A 16,678-nucleotide genomic window follows, 5' to 3' on the forward strand; every position below is an offset into this window, starting at 1 on the left:
TTTGGGAAGCCTATCAAATATATTAAAGGTTTAAAACACTTGATGTTATGCTTAACCAGTTTGACCATGAGGTGAGATTCTTATAAACCTTTTATAATCCCTTACAATTTGTGTGTGTGTGTGTGTGTGTGTGTGTGTGTGTGTGTGTGTGTGTGTGTGTTTTAGATGGAGTTTCATTCTTGTTGCCCAGGCTGGAGTACAGTGACAGGATCTCGGCTACCGCAACCTCTGCCTCCCAGGTTCAAGTAATTCTCCTGCCTCAGCCTCTCTAGTAGCTGGGATTACAGGCATGTGCCACCATGCCCAGCTAATTTTGTATTTTTAGTAGAGACGGGGTTTCTCCACGTTGGTCAGGCTGGTCTCGAACTCCCGACCTCAGGTGATCCACCTGCCTTGGCCCCCCAAAGTGCTGGGATTATAGGTGTGAGCCACCGCGCCTGGCCTTTTGCCAGTTTGATATTTGGTGCCCCCATGCAGCCAGTTGGGTGGCAACTTGCTGCTCAAATTTAAAAGTTGAGAGGCTTTTGCCTGTGGTTCAATGAAACAAAAAAAGATCATTTTCCTTTATGATGTGGCTTGGCCCTCAGGGATATGATGTGGAGAGCTGGGTCACTAGGGCTACTCAGGGAAAGGGAATCCAGAAGCCTGGCACACAGCAAAAGGGTAAGAATTTCTTACCAGTCAGATTTCTGACCTCTCTCTCTCTGTGTGTTCAAACTGGTTGAATGAATTAAAAAAAAAAAAATCACTGCTTATCTCCTCTGTAAAGTTTTGATTAATGGAAAAAAGGATTTGTGAGGCTAATCTCAGGCTGTAGTGAATCTCGTAGGCTTTATGTGTCTTCCCGTGCTGTTCTGTGATAAAAAGGGGCGCCTTAGGATAGAACATGGGCTTAAAACCCCATAAGCTTGCTCGCCGCTCAAGATGGCCCAACAAGCTGGTCAGTAACTGCTGCAGATCCCTGAAACAAACAAAAAAACTAGATGAGGTCTCCATCTTGTTTTAAGTCTTTGGGAGTTTGACCTTGTAACCATGTGGCGGTTACTTGGTCTCCACCTTCCAAGTGGAACAGGAATTTTGGGTTCATGTCATAGTTAGCTCTACAATCTATCTTGAGTAGTTACGAGGCTTTGCCAGCTGAAAATTAACTACTCTAGACTCTTTCTGGGAAGGGCAATGGAGACTGCCCAGTGCTATAGTTCAGTGGTGATCTGGGTTTGATTCCTGGCTTAGGGAATGAGTACTTTCTAATTGATATTTGGGTAACCTTTGCCATTTTTTGATTTTCTCCCCCTCCACAAACTGTCTTGAATTGCCTTTCTCAGAGCACCTGGGAGGTTACTTTCAATAGTTTAAAGGCAGGAATATTGGCTGTTTGGCCTGATGAAAGTTGGGTAATAAGCAATTTAAAAGAACTTTTATTAAAGAGTGCAATGGTTAAAAGTCAGCTTAATTAAAAGTAGATATTCTGGCTCTAACAGCCTGGGACTCCTTGGGAAAACAGGAGGTGCCAGAGACCCCGTTTTGGGAAAAAACTCTGTTTTACTCATGAAACCCCAGAAATTGGAAGTAGATAGATTCCTTTCAAAATCTAAGGCTCTGTTCTGTTTTGCATTGGATTATCTACTGTTTTTTACTTGGGGGTATCAGAAATTACTTCACATAGAGACTTGGTGTGTAATAACTAGGCAGGAAATATACTTTAGGGATGTCTAATGGCAGTTATGGGGCTGACTCCCTCTTTTTTGGGGGGGATCCAGGATCTGGTATAAAAACGAGACCTCAGGCTGGGCATGGTGGCTCACGCCTGTAATCCTAGCACTTTGAGAGGCCGAGGTGGGTGGATTGCCTGAGCTCAGGAGTTCGAGACCAGCCTGGGCAACATGGTGAAACCCCACCTCTACTAAAATAAAAATAAAAAAAAATTAGCCGGGCATGGCGGCATGCGCCTATAGTCCCAGCTATTTGGGAGGCTGAGGCAGAAGAATCGCTTTAACCCAGGAGGCGGAGGTTGCAGTGAACTGAGATGGTGCCACTGCACTCCAGCCTGGTGACAGAGCAAGACTCCGTCTCAAAAAAAAAAAAGAGACCCTTAATTTTTGGAGATCCGTTTTGCCTTCCAGCTGTGCCTGCTTATTATATTAGGCCCTAGAAACTGCATGCTTTCCTGGTCCTGTTCTTCCAAGGACTCCATCCTAAAGCCAGTAATCCAATTTAGAAACTTAGAAAGTGGTAAATGAAAAATCTTACAACTATTGGATCTTCTTCTGTCTGTCTGTGTAGTTATATATGTGTTGTGTGTTTAATGTTTATATAAAAGAGCTCTAATTGCCAGGCACATTGGCTCACGCCTATAATCCCAACACTTTGGGAGGCTGAGGTGGGTGGATCGCCTGAGGTCAGGAGTTCGAGACCAGCCTGGCCAACCAGGCGAAACCCCGTCTCCACTAAAAATACAAAAATTAGCCAGGTGTGGTGGCGCATGCTGGTAATCCCAGCTACTCAGGAGGCTGAGGCAGGAGAATCACTTGAACTCAGGAGGTGGAGGTTGCCCTGAGCCAAGATTGTGCCACTGCACCCAAGTCTGGATGACAGAGTGAGACTCTGTCTCAAAATAAAAATAAAAATAAAAATAAATAAAAGAGCTCTAATTAATTGGCTTTAAGAAAAATGAGTGCTTAAATCAAATATTTTGAAAGAAAAATAAAAACTCTAATGCCTTTTAGTGCATGTAACTTCAGTAATCTTTGGGAAATAAAAAGTTTTAAAGGTTACTGGTGAAAATAAAGACATTTGGCCTAAATTAGGCAGGTTAGATATTAGGTTTGCTAACTTCTTTTTTTTTTTTTTTTTTGAGATGGAGTTTCACTCTTGTTGCCCAGGCTGGAGTCCAATGGCGTGATCTAGGCTCACTACAACGTCTGCCTCTCGGGGTTCAAGCAATTCTCCTGCCTCAGCCTCCCGAGTAGCTTGGATTATAGGCATATGCCACCATGCCCAGCTAATTTTTGTATTTTTAGTAGAGATGAGGTTTCACCATGTTGGCCAGGCTGGTCTTGAACTCCTGACCTCATGATCCCCCCGCCTCCGCCTCCCAAAGTGCTGGGATTACAGGTGTGAGCCACTGCACCCAGCCAGGTTTGCTAAATTTTTTAAGGTCATAAACTGCTTTGACTTTTCTAAATTGTTCAAATTATTTTGGAGCATTAGATTCTAGATAAGGCCTGCGGACATGTGGAATTAGCCATGCCCCCAGCTAGGCAAAGAAGATTACAAAGAAAATAAATTTTATATAAGAAAGGATCTCGTATGGTAAATTCTTGCCCTAAAGTAAAATAACTGGTTGTTTAAAAAGAGGGGTGTTTAAAAAGAGGAGTGTTTAGGACAAGTGAGAAAGTCCAACCATGCCATAGATGGCCTGTGTAAGTTGTTAAAGGATTTGTGAAATTCATGCACCAAAAGTAAAAGATGCTAAGAGTTACCATTATAACATGTAATTGAAACTACTAAAAAAATAGTTTTACATGCAAGGTGTGTGAGGAGAGTGAAATGTGTTTTTGGTAAAAGATTATAAGAAGGCATGGGAATGTAAATTTTTGCCTAGTTTAGAGGGTTAAAGGGTTTTTAAGTTAGATAAGATAAAGCTAAAAGTTTGAGCAAATTGTAGGTTTGTAAAAATTAATCTTGTAAAAGAAATTCTGTGTGTGAACATATTGACTAAATTTAAAGGAGTATTATTCATTTTTTCCAGAAATTGAACATTGAAGTAAAAGCACAACAGGGTTTTCTTTTCTTTCTATTTTTTTTTTTTGAGATGGAGTCTCGCTCTGTCACCCAGGCTGGAGTGCAGTGGTGCACTCTTGGCTCACTGCAACCTCTGCCCCCTGGGTTTAAGCGATTCTCCTGCCTCAGCCTCTGGAGTAGCTGTGATTATAGGCACTTGCCAGCACGCCTGGCTAATGTTTGTATTTTTAGTAGAGACGGGGTTTCACCATATTGGCCAGGCTGGTCTTGAACTCCTGACCTCGTGATCTGCCCGCCTCCACCTCCCAAAGTGCTAGGATTACAGGCATGAGTCACCACGCCTGGCCAACAGGGTTTTCTTAAAGCACTGTTCTGCTCTTTCACAAAAATTGTAAGGGCTTGGCCAGGTGTGGTGGCTCACACCTGTAATCCCATCACTTTGGGAGGCTGAGGCAGGTAGATCACGAGGTCAGGAGATCGAGACCATCCGGGCGTGGTGGCGGGCGCCTGTAGTCCCAGCTACTCAGGAGGCTGAGGCAGTAGAATGGCATGAACCCAGGAGGCAGAGCTTGCAGTGAGCTGTGATGGCGCCACTGCACTCCAGCCTGGGCAACACAGCGAGACTCCGTCTAAAAAAAAAAAAAGTCTCAAACTAGCCCTGGGTTGGGCCCTGTCATCTTTAACCCATTTTTAACCCAGAGGGACTTTACTGAGGGGAGGGCCTCTAACCCAATCCCATGCTTTACTTAGGTAAAATGTACCCCATTACTTATTCAAAGTCAGCCAATTTGTGCTGCAGCCTATCTCCTTTGGATTGCGATAGTAACTAAGCTAAAAGGTTAGCAGATTTGATTTTTGGGAGCCTTCATTTTTAAATGCATGTCAGTGCACTGTTGTTCATTCAGAATGTTCCACTGTAGTCATCTTTAGTAAGATTTCACCATTTCTGTAAGACTTCACCACTTTCCATGCCTAACGTGTAAGCCAGAAGGAACCCAGTTTTCCGGAAATTAAGGAACCCATTTTTACCTGAATATTGGCTTTACGCTCAGCTTCCCTTGATTAATTTAGCCAATGATTTTTTCCTACCTAAGTGTGCAAGAAAAATGAAACAAAGGGGTAGAACACAAACATCCCCACGAATTTTCAAAAGCCAAATTTTACACCCCCTGCAATATTACCATTTTCTACCAGTTTCTTTCAGACCCAGTCAGATGTAAGAGGCCTCTAACTGGATCCAGGCCGGTTAATTACCGTATCAAATCTATTCCTGGACCCATCCATTTTCTTTGGCGACTTCCAAACCCAGTTTGGATCAGAAATTTGCACAAAGAAAACTCAGAGAGCTCGAAACACAAACTGTGGATCTCCAAAATCCAAGAGAGGACTTATCCATGATCCCCAGCTGCTCTGAGAAATCAATGGACACAAGTGTGTCCAGCAGGTACCTTACTTGTTCACTCAGTGCCCCAGGGGTCATTAGAAGCTTTACTTTGGATCCCACTTCTGACACCATGTTAAAAGAAAAACTTCAGCCGAATTAAATTTAAAGGAGTTTAATTAAGCAATGAATGATTCGTGAATTGGGCAGTCCTCAGAATCCCAGCAGATTCAGAGAGACTCCAGGGATGCTTCATGGTCAGAACAAATTTACAGACAAAAAACGGGAAGTGACGTACAGAAATTGGAGGTGAGGTACAGAAATAGCTGGTTGGTTGCAGCTCGGCATTTGCCTCATTTGAACTCTCAGCAGTGTATGAGTGAAATATGGCTGCTGGGATTGGCAAAGACTCAGCTACTGTTACAGGTGCGTAAGTTACAGTTTCAATCTTGTCTACCTATAAGTTAGGTTGTAGTTCATCCACAAAGACTCAAATACAGAAGTACAGAGTCCTTCTCAGGCCATATTTAGTTTGCTTTTACACCTATATGACCAAACTGCCCTTCTGAAAATTTAGAACAATTTCCCCTTTCACCAAAAACGTATTATAATGCCCTGTTGCAGTTTTCACCAAAAATCAGGTTTTTCTTTTGGCAAACAATTTCACCAGAAACTAGGTATTTCCTTTTCTTTTCTTTCTTTTAAAATTTGTAGTAAAATACACATAAAATTTACCATCTTAATGATTTTTAAGCATAGGGTTCAGAAACAATGTCATACAGTCACCCCCACCATCTATCATTCATTCAATCAGTTTGCACAGTTAACTCTTTGCATCTTGTAAAGCTGAAGCTCTGTCCCCATGAAACACTAATTCCACCAGCCCCTGGCAATTACCATTCTGCCCTCTGTTTTTATGAATTTGACTACTCTACATCTCCTGTCTCAGTGGAATCAGACAGCATTTGCCCCTTGTGACTGGCTTTTTCTTTTTCTTTTTTTTTTGAGGCAGAGTCTCGCTCTGTCGCCCAGGCTGGAGTGCAGTGGCACAATCTCGGCTCACTGCAACCTCTGCCTCCCGGGTTCAAGCAATACTCCTGTCTCAGCCTCCCGAGTAGCTGGGACTACAGGCGCCTGCCACCAAGCCCAGCTAATTTTTTGTATCTTTAGTAGAGACGGGGTTTCACCGTGTTGGCCAGGATGGTCTTCATCTCCTGACCTCGTGATCTGCCCGCCTCGGCCTCCCAAAGTGCTGGGATTACAGGCGTGAGCCACTGCACCCCACCCTGTGACTGGCTTTTTCACTTAGCATAATGACCTCAAGGTTCATCCATGTTGTAGTGTGTGTCAGAATTTCCCTCCTATTTAAGGCCAAAACTATTCCATTGTACATATGTTACTGGAAAGGGGTCCCAATGCTGACCCCAAGAGAGGGTTCTTGGATCTTGCTCAAGAAAGAATTCAGACGAGTCCACAGAATAAAATGAAAGTAAGTTTACTAAGAAAGCCAAGGAATAGAGAATGGCTACTCCATGGGCAGAGCAGCCCCGATGGCCGCTGGTTGGCTATTTTTATGGTTATTTCTTTTTATTTATTTATTTATTTTTGAGACAGAGTCTCCCTTTGTTGCCCAGGCTGGAGTGCAGTGGCGATCTCGGCTCACTGCAAGCTCCGCCTCCCGGGTTCATGCCATTCTTCTGCCTCAGCCTCCTGAGTAGCTGGGACTATAGGCGCCCGCCTGTAATTTTTTGTATTTTTAGTAGAGACGGGGTTTCACCATGTTAGCCAGGATGGTCTCAATCTCCTGACCTTGTGATCCGCCCGCCTCAGCCTCCCAAAGTGCTGGGATTACAGGCGTGAGCCACCACGCCCTGCTGATTATTTCTTGATTATATGCTAAACAAGAGGTGGATTATTCATGAGTTTTCCGTGAAAGGGGTGGGCAATTCCCAGAACTGAGGGTTTCTCCCCTTTTTAGAACATATAGGGTAACTTCTAGGCCAGGCATGGTGGCTCACGCCTGTAATCCCAGCACTTTGGGAGGCCAAGGCGGGCAGATGACCTGAGGTCAGGAGTTTGAGACCAGCTTGACCAACATGGAGAAACCCCATCTCTACTAAAAATAAAAAATTAGCTGGGCGTGGTGGCGCGTGCCTGTACTCCCAGCTACTCGGGAGGCTGAGGCAGGAGAATCGCTTGAACCCGGGAAGCCGAGGTTGTGGTGAGCCGAGATTGCGCCATTGCACTCCAGCCTGCACAACAAGAATGAAACTCTGTCTCAAAAGAAAAAAAAAAAATAGAACATATAGGGTAACTTCTATATGTTGCCATGGCATCAGTAAACTGTCATGGGGCTGGTGGGAGTGCCTTTTAGCATGTTAATGCATTATAATTAGCTTATAATGAGCTGTGAGAACAACCAGAGATCCCTTTCATTGCCATCTTGGTTTTGGTGGGCTTTGGCCAGCTTCTTTACTGCAACCTGTTTTATCAGTAAGGTCTTTGTGACCTGTATCTTGTGTCAGCCTCCTACCTCATCCTGTGACTATGAATGCCTAACCTCCTGGGAACGCGGCCCAGCAGGTGTCAGCCTCATTTTACCCCGCCCCTATTCAAGATGAAGTTGTTCTGGTTCCAACGCCTCTGACATATTAGCTGCATCATTTTACATTTCTTTTTTTTTTTTCCTTTTAAATGGGGTCTTGCTCTGTCACCCAGGCTGGAGTGCTGTGGTATGATCTCGGCTCACTGCAATCTCCACCTCCGAGGTTCCAGCGATTCTCTTGCCTCAGCCTCCCGAGTAGCTGGGACTACAGGCACCCACCATCATACTGGGCTAATTTTTGTGTTTTTAGTAGAGATGGGGTTTCCCCATGTTGCCCAGGCTGATCTCAAACTCCTGGGCTTAAGCAATACAGCCGCGTTGGCCTCCCAAAGTGTTGGGATTACAAGCATGAGCTACCCCACCCAGCTCATTTTACATTTCCACTTGTTAAACTGAAAACTGGCCCGAGAAAGCTTCTGTACTGCCATCCTTGCGTCCTTGCAGATGAATCGTAACCTAGCATAGTAGGTAGGCAGACTGAAAACCTAACTTAGCAGTAGGCTTCTGTAACAACAGCTGTGTCTCAGCCAGTTCCTGCAGCCAGACTTCAACCACTCACAGGCCGCAAACTGTTCAAACTGTGTTCGGAGAAGGCGAATTCATCTGGCTGTTAACGTGCCTCACTTCTGCTTTCTGTGGCCACTTTCCCTTTTCTGTCCATAAATTTGCTTTGACCACACAGCATCCCTAGAGTCTCCCTGAATCTGCTGTGATTCTGGGACCTGCACCATTTGTGAATTGTTTTTTTTTTCCTTGATCAGCTAAACTCTGTTCAATTCAATTTGTTGGAAGTTTTTAACATACCAATGGTGCACCAAGGTTCCAATTTCTCCACTTCCTCATAAATAAGTCATTTTAAATGGCTTTTCAGTATTCCAATATTTGGAAGTATTAATGTTTCTACCAATTTTCTATTTTTGGACATTGAGGTTGTTTCATTTTTTTTTTCTTTTTTTGAGACAGAGTCTCGCTCCGTCACCCAGGCTGGAGTGCAGTGGCCTGATCCCGGCCCACTGCAACCTCCACCTCCCTCCTCAGCCTCCTGAGTAGCTGGGATTACAGGTGCATGCACCACCACACCCAGCTAATTTTTGTATTTTTAGTAGAGATGGGGTTTCACCATGTTGGTCAGGCTGGTCTCAAACTCCTGACCTCAGGTGGTCCACCTGCCTTGGCCTCCCAAAATGCTGGGATTACAGGCCTGAGCCACTGCGCCTGGCCTCATCTTCTTGATATTAATGTTGCTTTAACATCTTTGTCCCTGTGTTTTTTGTTTTTTTTTTTGAGACGGAGTCTCATTCATTCTGTCACCCAGGCTGGAGTTCAGTGGCGTGATCTCAGCTCACTGCAACCTCTGTCTCCTGGGTTCCAGTGATTCTCCTGCGTCGGTCTCCTGAGTAGCTGTGTTCCTGGGTCTTTCGATGGTTATTTAATACTTCCCTACAGTAATGCCCTGTGCGTACATGCTAAGTGTGATGAAATGGTTGGCACAGTTAAATCTTTTGAAAGACATTGCCAAGTCACTCTTCAGAAAAGTGATAGGAGGTCATAGCAATTTTAAGAAGTCCTCATTTCTACATTTCCTTACTAATCTCGGTTGGTGTCTCTTCAATCTTTCCTCACACTTTTCTTGGGTTTTTCCTGAATCATGAGTCTACTACATTTACACATTTTAAAGCATCTTTAGAAACAGGATCTCATTTTGTTGCCCAGGCTAGAGTTTGGTGGCATGATTATAGCTCCTCATACTCCTGGGCTCAAGTGATCCTTCCACCTCTGAAACCCCAAAATTTGAGAAAGGTCTCATTTAATTTAGAAAGTTTATTTTGCCAAGGTTGAGGGTGCACACCTGTGATGATATACGAGTTAAAAAGAAATTATTTAGGCAGATACTGAGGGTAAGAAAGTCCTCGGTAAGGTTTTCTTTTCAATGAAAAGCAGCCCCCAAGCATTTTCTTTTCTAACAAAGAGCAGCCTGTAAAATCGAGCTGCAGACATACACAAGCAAGCTGGAAGCTTGCACAGGTGAATGCTGGCAGCTGTGCCAATAAGAAAAGGCTACCTGGGGCCAGGCAGATCCAACATGGCGGCTCCATCTTCCCTTTCCTTGTCAACCATGTGCACAGTAAGGAGCAGGCAACATAGTGTCCCCCGAGTAGAGACCAATTTGCATAATAAAAGGTGAGGGTAGGGTGGGCAGCTTCTTTGCATGCTATGTAAACATTATGCCTGGTCCAACCAATCTTTGGGCCCTGTGTAAATTAGACACCACCTCCTCAAGCCTGTCTATAAAACCCTGTCCATTCTGCCGCAGGCTGGAAGACCCACTGGGGCACCCCTCTCTCTCTATAGGAGACAGCTATTCATTTTTCTCTTTCTTTCACCTATTAAAGCTCCACTCTTAACCCCACTCCGTGTGTATCTATGTTCTTGATTTCCTTGGCATGAGGCAATGAACCTTGGGTATTACCCCAGAACCTTGGGTATTATGCCACTTCAGTGACACAGCCTCAGGAAATCCTGATGACATGTTCCCAAGATGGTCGGGGCACAGCTTGGTTTTATACATTTTAGGGAGACATGAGACGTCAATTCATATATGTAAGAAGTACATTGGTTCCGTCCAGAAAGGCGGGGACAACTTGAGGCAGGGAGAGAGCTTCTAGGTCACAGGTAGACAAATGGTTGCATTCTTTTGAATCTCCGATAAGCCTTTCCAAAGGAGGCAATCAGAATATGCGTCTATTGACTGGGCGCAGTGGCTCATGCCTGTAATGCCAGCACTTTGGGAGGCGGAGGTGGGTGGATCACCTGAGGTCAGGAGTTTGAGAGCAGCCCGGCCAACATGGTGAAACCCTGTCTCTACTAAAAATACAAAAAATTAGCTGGGCGTGGTGGCGGGCGCCTGTAATCCCAGCTACTCGGGAGGCTGAGGCAGGAGAATAGCTTGAACCCAGAAGGAAGAGGTTGCAGTGAGCTGAGATGGTGCCATTGCACTCCAGCCTGGGCAACAAGAGTGAAACTCCATCTCAGAAAAAAAAAAAAAAGGCCTGGGCAAAGTGGCTCACGCCTGTAATCCCAGCACTTTGGGAAGCCGAGGCGGGCAGGTCACAAAGTCAGGAGATTGAGACCATCCTGGCTAACATGATGAAACCCCATCTCTACTAAAAAATACAAAAAACTAGCTGGGTGTGGTGGCGAGCACCTGTAGTCCCAGCTACTCGGCAGGCTGAGGCAGGAGAATGGCGTGAACCGGGGAGGCGGAGCTTGCAGTGAGCCGAGATCACACCACTGCACTCCAGCCCGGACGACAGGGCAAGACTCTATCTCAAATTAAAAAAAAAAAAAAAAAAAAAAAAAAAGAGAGAGAGAATATGCATCTATCTCAGTGAGCAGAAGGATGACTTTGAATGGAATGGGAGCAGTTCCTAGCTTGAACTTCCCCTTTAGCTTCAGTGATTTGGGGGCTCAAGGTATGTTCCTTTCACATACCTCAGCCTCCCAAGTAGCTGGGACCACAAGTGCATGCCACCACACGTGGCTAATGTTTTATTTTTTTTGTAGGAATAGGGTCTCACTATGTGTCCAGGCTGGTCTAAAACCCCTGAGCTCAAATGGTCCTCCCGCCTCAGCCTCCCGAAATGCTGGGATTACAGGCATGAGCCAGCATGCCCGGCCTAGTCTACATTTTTATAAATTGCTAATTCAAAGTTCCCTCTCCAAAACCTCATGGTTTTCCCTGTTCTCATCCCCTGCACCCTCCCTTCCCCTGGAGTACTCACCTGGCCTTGGAGGTCTGGTGTGAGCCCGGACTTCGATTCTAGGCACAGCATGTGATGAGCGCCCCCAGGTCAAACACCTCCCCTCTGCGGCCTGTGCTTCACCGCCTTGACAGTGAGAAAGGTCTCCCTTCGGCTCATTCTCGAAGTCTCAAACTTCACTTCTCCTGTGCGCTGATTCTGAATTCAGCCCCCGTCCAAGGTCCTGGCCCCTTTCTCTTCTGCTTGGCGTGTTGTTCATCACCACTGTGCACTGCTGAGGGTAAGTGCGGTTCTCTGGACCTCTGCTTTATCATTAGAACAGACTCTTGCGGTTTCCCACGACATTCCTTTCACTTCTCACTTGGAAGATGAGCCGTGAGGAAATCCTGTGTTGTGTGGTATGTGGGCTGTGCTTCTGCTTGACTTGAGGGCCAAGCAGCATTGCAAGCCATGGTTTTAAATAAGAAAGAACATTTCTAACCTTCATCTTCTAGTAAGGAAACAAGTGGGCTTTAGAGTTCTTGCTCAGGAAAGACCTATGTCCCAGTCCAACCGGACCTTTTACTAAAGAGATCTTCCTGATCCTCCTCCCCAGGCCAGGGGAGGGGTCCTCCCTGGGGTTGGAGCCTTTAGTAGGGGGTCGGAGACACGACGTAGCCTTCATGACATTCATAGTCTAGTTACACGATCCCTGTAAGGGTCAGTTGAAGTAAGTGCTACAAAGGAAGGGAGGTGCTCAGTGGAGAGGGCTCTCTTTTATGTATTATATTTCTTTCATGGGGAGGGATATGGATCAGGGATCAGCAGAGGTGTTTCAGTCCCGAGGGAAAGAAAGTCAGCGTGGCTTGGGAGTTGGGAGCAGCAAGACAGTGGCTCAAGATATCTTAAGACTAGTGGAGTACACCTTGCATGTTAAAAGCCTTGCTCAGGGCTGCCTGGTTCTTGTAGGACGACAGAGATGGCCTAGCTCTGCATACTGCACCCCCAGGGGCTCAGAACAGTGCAAATGTCAGTCTATCTGTCAGTGGCAGAGCCAGCCTTGGAGCAGGGGTGCAAGGAGGTCTCTGCACTGGCCAGGCATGCAGAACATTCTGTTCAGTAGCACTGGACAGAAGGCCCCATCTAGATGAGACAGAGCTGGTGGGGCAGGACAAAGACTCCTGGCAGCTCAAACGGCCTGGCAGATGCTTGGAGAGAGGGGGCTTCTTGAGACAGCACCATTTCTGGGAAGAGAGTCACCTGGGAGGGATGAGGCCACGCTCCGGCTTGGAGGTGAAGAGAGGGGCTGCTGCAAGAAAGAATTAGAGACATGCCAGCCTTTGCTGTGTTGCCCAGGCTGGTCATGAACTCTTGGCCTCAAGCAATCTTCCCACCTCAGCCTCCCCAAGCGCTGGGATTATAGACATGAGCCCCCATGCTGGCCAATAAAAGATGATTTTATGGAGGGGATGGTGGTGAAGGTTGTGGGTGGTATGAAATAGTAAGAAATATATATTGGTCTGCACCCAGTTCCTGCCACAGAGCTCCTAAAATCCTGAGAACTTCCTGGGTGAGCATCTTTTGTTCTAATGAGGTGACTCTTGGTGGCTCCTGGATAGGAGTGAATCACCAGAAAGATCAAGCCAGAGTTAGAAGCAGAAAGTGCTGGCTATAACACAGGAAAGCTGTAACACAAATAATAAAGTTTTTTTTTTTTTTTTTGAGATGGAGCCTCACTCTGTTGCCCAGGCTGGAGTGCAATGGTGCAATCTCAGCTCACTACAAGCTCTGCCTCCCAGGTTCAAGTGATTCTCCTGCCTCAGCCTCCTGAGCAGTTGGGACTACAGGTGTGTGCCACCACATCTGGCTAATTTTTGTATTTTTAGCAGAGACGGGGTTTCACCATATTAACCAGGCTGGCCTCAAACTCCTTACCTTGTGATCCGCCTGCCTCAGCCTCCCAAAGTGCTGGGATTACAGGCATGAGCCACCGTGCCTGGCCAAAAGACATTGTTCTTAAAAGAATCAACTAACTAACCAAATAAATAAAAATCTAACCTAATTAAGAAACTAAAAATACACAAAAATTAATTTCAAGGGGAGAAAAATCATGTAAAGAGAGAAAGATAATGAATACTTTGCAGAAATTTATGAACATAAACATAAAACTTGGATGAAATGCATTTCTAGGAAAACATAATTTATCAAAACTAACCACAAGTAAAATAGAAGCCTAAATAGGATATTTTCAAGAGAAGAAGTAAAGTTGTCAAAGTGCTACCCTTCAAAAAAACACCAGGCTCAAACAATCTGACATGGGAATGTTAGCACACCTTAGAGAGCAAATAAAACTTTGAATGGGCTTGAAATATTCCAGACTCTAGAAAAACAAAACTTCCCAATTCTTTTTATAAAGCAAGTATAAATTGATACCAAAATCTTATAAAGACCTTATACAAAACTTCATACCAATCTCTTTTATGAATACAAAACCCTTAATAAAGTATTACCAGACAGAACCCAACAATACATAAAAATGTCACATCATAACATAGTGGGGTTTATTTCAATAATGCATGGATGGTTCAATACAAGGAAATTCAGTAACACAATATAATAGATCATGTGAATATACCCAAAGAAAAAATAGATTATTTTCATAGATGCTGTAAAGGCATTTGACCAAATTCAACACCTACTTTTTAGGTGGTCAATAAAATAAATTAGTTACTCCTTCTTTAGCATGATAAAATATATTTATCAGCCCAGAAGGCATCATTTTACCCGATAAGGGCACACGCTGGAGGGAATAATGTTAAAATTAGGAATAAGAGGATAGCTAGTTTCTTTCTTCTTTTTTTTTTTTGAGACGGAGTCTTGCTCTGTTGCCAGGCTGGAGTGCAGTGGTGCAATGTTGGCTCACTGCACGCCCCCCGCCTCCCAGGTTCAAGCGATTCTCCTGCCTCAGCCTCCCGAGTAGCTGGGACTACAGGCGCGCACCACCATGCCCGGCTAATTTTTTTTTGTATTTTAGTAGAGATGGGGTTTCACCATGTTGGTCAGGCTGGTCTTGAACTCCCAACCTCACGTACTGGGATTACCGGTGTGAGCCACCACGCCAGCCCAACTACTTTCAACATTATCCTTAATACTGATGCTTATTGACTTACTATGGGGTTACCTCTAGATAAATCCATAATAAGTTGAAAATATAAGTAAAAAATGCCCTTAATACACCTAACCTACCAAACATCATAGCTGAGCCCAGCCTGCCTTAGCTATGCTCAGACACTGACGTCAGCCTACAATTGGCAAAATCACACAGCAGCACAGTCTACTGCAGAGCATCTGCTGTTTGCCCTTGTGACTGCGTGGCTGCCTGGGAGCTTCCCAGCTTCACAAGACAGTATTACGTAGCACATCACTAGCCTGGGGAAAGATCAAAGTTGAAAATTTGAAGTGTGGTTTCCATTGAATGTGTACTGCTTTTGCACCATCATCAAGTCAAAAAATTTTAGTTGAACCAGCCTAAGTTTGGGACCATCTTTATTTTCAGGAGGAACTTCCATGTACATTGATGACGGACGATAGAATCCGTTTCTATCATCCTAATGAACATAATGAATAAATCCAGACAAACATAAACATTAACAGAGTAAGCAGCTTTCGGGGCTGGAAGCCAGAAGAGGGTGGGAGCGCAGAGAGAGAGGCCAAACACCAGGGCTGCTTCTGCTTTGCGGGTATTTGCTGATCTGGACAAGGTATCTGGAAGGCTGAGCTAAGCCTCCTTTTTTTTTGAGGTGGCGTCTCACTCTGTTGCCAGGCTGGAGTGCAATGGTGCGATCTCAGCTCACTGCAACCTCCACCTCCCTGGTTCAAGCGATTCTCCTGCCTCAGCCTCCCGAGTAGCTGGGATTACAGGCTCCCGCCACTACACCCAGCTGATTTTTGTAATTTTAGTAGAGACGGGGTTTCACCATGTTGGCCAGGATGGTCTCGATCTCTTGACGTCATGATCTGTCCACCTCGGCCTCCCAAAGTGCTGGGATTATAGGCGTGACCCACCGTGCCCCGTCTGAGCTAAGCCTCTTGAGCATAGGGGACTAAAAATGAAATCTAGCGCATGCCAAGTTTAGGGTCCCAGGCAATTCCTTTCCACTTTGGGGTCCACTTTGGGGTCCACCCCACCCAAGAAGAAGGATGACTTGGAAGTAAACCAGCTCTGAAATATGGATGGTCCTCTGGGACCATACCAATCCCTTCATATCAACCACATCCAGTTCCTCAAAACTGGAACTTGGATTAAGATGGCCTAGGACTTCTAGTGTCCCAGGAGCCTGGCATTGCAAACAAAAATCCTCTCCGGAAGAAGATAATACCTTAAGCTTCAAATGACTCTCTAATAAATTTCAAATACAATGTCCAGCACACAAACACAAATTACCAGGAACGTGATATGAGGCCTGATGGATGGGAATTAGCAGAAACTTCAGGCATGAGAAACATACCCTCAGAGGCCTAGAATCTATCTAGTGTCTAGATAATGGAGATATGAAATACAGACACTTAAACAACTATGTTTCCCATGTTCAAAGAGGAAATTTGCAAAACTTGAAAGTGTTGGCAGGAAATCAGAAACTATAAAATGTGACAACAGCATACTTTAGAGTCAGTATAAATTACGGTCCCGAAAACTGCAGAATTCCAGAACTTAATGGTAAAGCAAGGGTTTAACAGCAGAATAGAAATAGCCAGAGAGAACTAGGAAGTAAGTCAGATGACACTACCCAGAATAAGGCACTGAGAGGCCAAGGAATGGAAAATGCAGAAGAAAGGATATGGTGAGAGGATCTAATATACATTTATTTGGAGTACCAGGGAGAGAGAGAAGGAGAAGAACAGAAGCCGTGTTTCAAGGACGGTGACTGAGAGGCTTCGAAACTGATGAAAGCCATCAGTTCACAAATTCAAAGCCCAGTGAATTCCAAGGAGAAAAAAAGAAATCCATACTGTGAAAGCAAGTCCAGACAATGACAAACACCATCAACAATACACAGGACAGGCATAAGATGCATTTAATGGGGACACTCAGAGGCAGAGGGTTATCAGAAGGAGGCACTTCTCTCCCAAGTTCTCATCATCCCAGGGCCAGGGACAGCTGGTCACACCTTAGGGAGTTCACTAGGAGAGGGATCTGGCTTCTTGTCA

The 16,678-nt window shown here is 45.0% G+C and overlaps 1 non-coding gene across 4 annotated transcripts in view, besides 1 other annotated feature; it reads right to left on the bottom strand.

The window, feature by feature from the left end:
• Window positions 1-16,678, bottom strand: part of HTT-AS (HTT antisense RNA) — a 28,486-nt gene that overhangs the window by 4,783 nt on the left and 7,025 nt on the right. For 3 of the 4 annotated variants that reach the window (NR_185915.1, NR_045414.2, NR_185914.2), the window contains one exon: window positions 11,513-12,779. This is a non-coding gene — a non-coding RNA (HTT antisense RNA). The remainder of the gene's footprint in view (window positions 1-11,512; window positions 12,780-16,678) is intronic. The other variant, NR_185916.1, reaches the window with a different exon arrangement.
• Window positions 8,097-8,176: an enhancer, noted in NCBI's record as "active region_21214". NCBI's record gives its function as "activates an Ori minimal core promoter by ATAC-STARR-seq in GM12878 lymphoblastoid cells {active_cell/tissue: GM12878}" and the evidence as "EXISTENCE:reporter gene assay evidence [ECO:0000049][PMID:35858748]".

The sequence above is a fragment of the Homo sapiens genome, chromosome 4 (genome assembly GCF_000001405.40).
Source record: "Homo sapiens chromosome 4, GRCh38.p14 Primary Assembly".
Classification (NCBI taxonomy): Eukaryota; Metazoa; Chordata; class Mammalia; order Primates; family Hominidae; genus Homo; species Homo sapiens.